Source organism: Homo sapiens, chromosome 8 (genome assembly GCF_000001405.40).
Source record: "Homo sapiens chromosome 8, GRCh38.p14 Primary Assembly".
In the NCBI taxonomy this organism is placed as follows: Eukaryota; Metazoa; Chordata; class Mammalia; order Primates; family Hominidae; genus Homo; species Homo sapiens.
The window spans coordinates 26,467,347-26,470,827 of NC_000008.11; the positions used below are offsets into that span (position 1 = coordinate 26,467,347).

General features: G+C 41.3%; 1 annotated feature.

The window, feature by feature from the left end:
• Positions 257 to 306: an enhancer, noted in NCBI's record as "active region_27128". NCBI's record gives its function as "activates an Ori minimal core promoter by ATAC-STARR-seq in GM12878 lymphoblastoid cells {active_cell/tissue: GM12878}" and the evidence as "EXISTENCE:reporter gene assay evidence [ECO:0000049][PMID:35858748]".

Sequence of the window (3,481 nt, forward strand, 5' to 3'; positions counted from 1 at the left end):
GACAGAGGATGAAACTCCGGGCCTCTGCCCTAACTACCCTAGGGCCAGGTATGAGGAAACTAGGGGCAGCTCCTATGCTGCAGAGCCCACTGGCAGTCCTCAGCCTGCTCGCCCTGCCTTGCCTGGCCGTTACCATGGAAACCACAATAAAGGCTCTTGCTGGTGTTTCCAGCCTCTCTCCCTCCCCCTCCTGACCCACCCTGGTGCCTCCCCATGTGACCCTGCGTGGTGTGCCGTACTTCCTCTTTCTAGGGGTCTGTGAATATAAAAAACTTCTTCCCTCATGACAGCAATTTTCATGTTGCATGTTAAAACAAATCCTGGGTGTAATTTGCAACAACTTTTGACCTCTCTTCAGCTCAAATCTTGGTAATGACCACTCAAACTTACAACGGGACTTGGCTTCTTGTCCGTGGCCCTGACTCTTTAGCCAGAAAGTGAAGCTATCATCTTGTTAACAGAAAAAAGGTCCCGATCCAGACCCCAGGAGAGGGTTTTCAGATCTCACATAGGGAGGAATTCAAGGTGAATCACAGAATGCAGTGAAAGAAGCAAGTTTATTAGAAATTCTCCATTGCAGAGCAGGGTGACCTCAGAGAGCAAGCGGAGGAACGCACCATCTTTAAGTTTTTCTCATAGAGGGTCTTGTCTAAGTAGAGACTAAAGCTAAGCTGTGTTTAGGTGCAGATGGGCAGACAGCATGACAAAATGGATTCTTCTATTGACTTAAAGAAAACTACCCTTGACATTTAAGAGTGTAAGTACATCAAAGCATAACTCTAATTATCTTTTTTTTTTTTTTTTTTTTTTTTTGAGACAGAGTCTCGCTCTGTTGCTCAGAGAGTGCAATGGCACGGTCTCGGCTCACTGCAACCACTGCCTCTCGGGTTCAAACGATTCTCCTGCCTCAGCCTCCCAAGTAGCTGGGACTACAGGCACATGCCACCACACCCAGCTAATTTTTGTATTTTTAGTAGAGACGGGGTTTCACTATGTTAGCCAGGCTTCTCTCGAATTCCTGATCTCGTGATCCATCCGCCTCAGCCTCCCAAAGTGTTGGGATTACAAGCGTAAGCCACCCCGCCCAGCCGCATAACTGTAATTATCTTACAAGCACATATTGCTATGGGTATTGGGGCATGTGGACTTTCTGTTGTTATAGGGGTGTGTCCTTGCAGGTGTCTTTGACTTGTTTTCTCAGCTGTAAACATCTTATGACCATGTGACTGGCAAGGATGTGCCTTACTAGCTTTAAGATGGAGTTGATTGTAAAATGGTGTCTCTCTGGCTCTCCTAGACTCCTGCTTTCCTCATATCCTGACTCTGCAGGCTCCCTTCGTTCATTCCTCTCTGTCTAAGTGTCAAACCGGACACAACAAGCAGAGCTGAACTCATGCTTGGAAGAGAAGTTCACCTTTGTGTTATAATTTGAGTTGGCCTAAGAACTCTCCAAGACCCCAAATAAACTGGACTCTGATGCCTGAAAACTTCCCACAACAAAATTCCTTTTCCTTGAGTATAACCCTCTCCTTATTCTTTTTGAGACAGGGTCTCACCTGTTACCCAGGCTGGAGTGCAGTGGTGCAATCTCGGCTCACTGCAACTTCTGCCTCCCCGGCTCAAGCGATTCTCCTGCCTCAGCCTCCTGAGTAGCTGGGATTACAGGTGCGTGCCACCATGCCTGGGTAAGGTTTCACCATGTTGGCCAGGCTGGTCTTGAACTCCTGGCCTCAAGTGACCTACCCACCTTGATCTCCCAAAATGATCCTCTCATCTTTTTGTTTTAAAATGAGCTTTTCCAGTTACTTTCCCCTTATAATAACAGAATCGAGATTGGATCAAATTGGCAACCAAGACATCATGTACCTGTTTCTCCTCCCACCCCAAATCCCGTAAAATGAAAGAAAATACATCTTTAATAAGGAGGCCCTCCAAGCTCAAAGTCGTCAGTTGCCCACCACCCAGACTAAGAGTATTCAGTGGAATAATGTGTATTCTGATTAGCACTAGATTTTAACAGATAAAAATGAATTTAAAGGCTATCACACACAAAAAAATAGGATCATAATGTAGAATTCCCAAATCATTAGAAAACAACTGCAATCCAATAGTTGGAAATTAAAAAGAATAAGAAAGCATGGTAAAAAAAAAAAATTAGGAATAAAAGATAATTAGAAATAAATCTAAGTACACCACTACTCACAATAAATAAAATGGGTTTAAATGTTCTATTAAATGTCCCTCAGATTGGGTTAAGAAAAAAAAAACCCTCAAATCCAAGAATACACAGTATATAGGAGATCTTCCTAAACTAAAATGTTATAGGAGAGTTGAGAAAGAAAAACAAAAAAACATGAAAAAAGAATTCCAGCTGGGTGCGGTGGCTCATTCCTGTAATCCCAGTACTTTGGGAGGCTGAGGCAGGTGGATCACTTGAGACCAGGAGTTCGAGATCAACCTGGCCAACAAGGTGAAACCCCATCTTTACTAAAAATAGAAAAAAATTAGGGGTGTGGTGGCAGGCACCTATAATCCCAGCTACTGGGGAGGCTGAGGCAGGAGAATCTCTCAAACCCAGGAGGCAGAGGTTGCAGTGAGCCAAGATTGTACCGCTGTACTCCAGCCTGGGCGACCAAGTGAAATCCTGTCTCAAAACAACAACAACAACAAAAAAAAAACAATTCCATGATTTATACATGTATTGAAACATCACATTGTATCCCATAAACATATACAATTACTATTTATCAATTAAACATAAAATAAAACTTTAAAAAATTTGAAAAAAATATATTTTAAACAATAATAAAAAGAACATAGAGCATTATTTGTATCGAAAAAATAAAATTCAAAGTGAAACTTATCATAAGATAAGAGTGTGATTCTTAGTTATAAAAGTTCCAGTTTGCCAAGGAGTTATAATACAGTCATGCATTGCTTAACAAGGGGGGTTCGTTCCAGAAATGAGCTGTTAGGTGATTTTGTCATGCAAACATCATGGCGTGTACTTCCAAAAACTACATGCTATAGTCTCCTTCACATCTAGGCCATATGGTATGACCTATTGCTCCTAGGCTACAAACCTGTACAGCACGTTACTGTACTGAATACTTTAGACAATCGTAACATGATGGTATTTGTGTATTTGAATCTGTCTAAACATAGAAGAGGTAATGCATTGTGCTACAACATTATGATGGCTATGTCACTTGGCAGTAGACATTTTTTAGCTCTGTTATATTATCCACTATAATCTCATGAGGCCCATTCTGTGTATGCAGTCTGTCATTGACCAAAATGTCCTTATGTGGTGCATGACTGTAGTTACAAATCTTTATGTACCTAATAACAGCTTCAAAACAATAAGGCATAAACTGATAGAAATTCAAAGAGAAATGTATGAATTCATAATCATGGTGGGAAGAGTTAAAAAATTCCCCTTTCTCAGATATTGACAAATAAACAAAATTTAAGTGAGAAT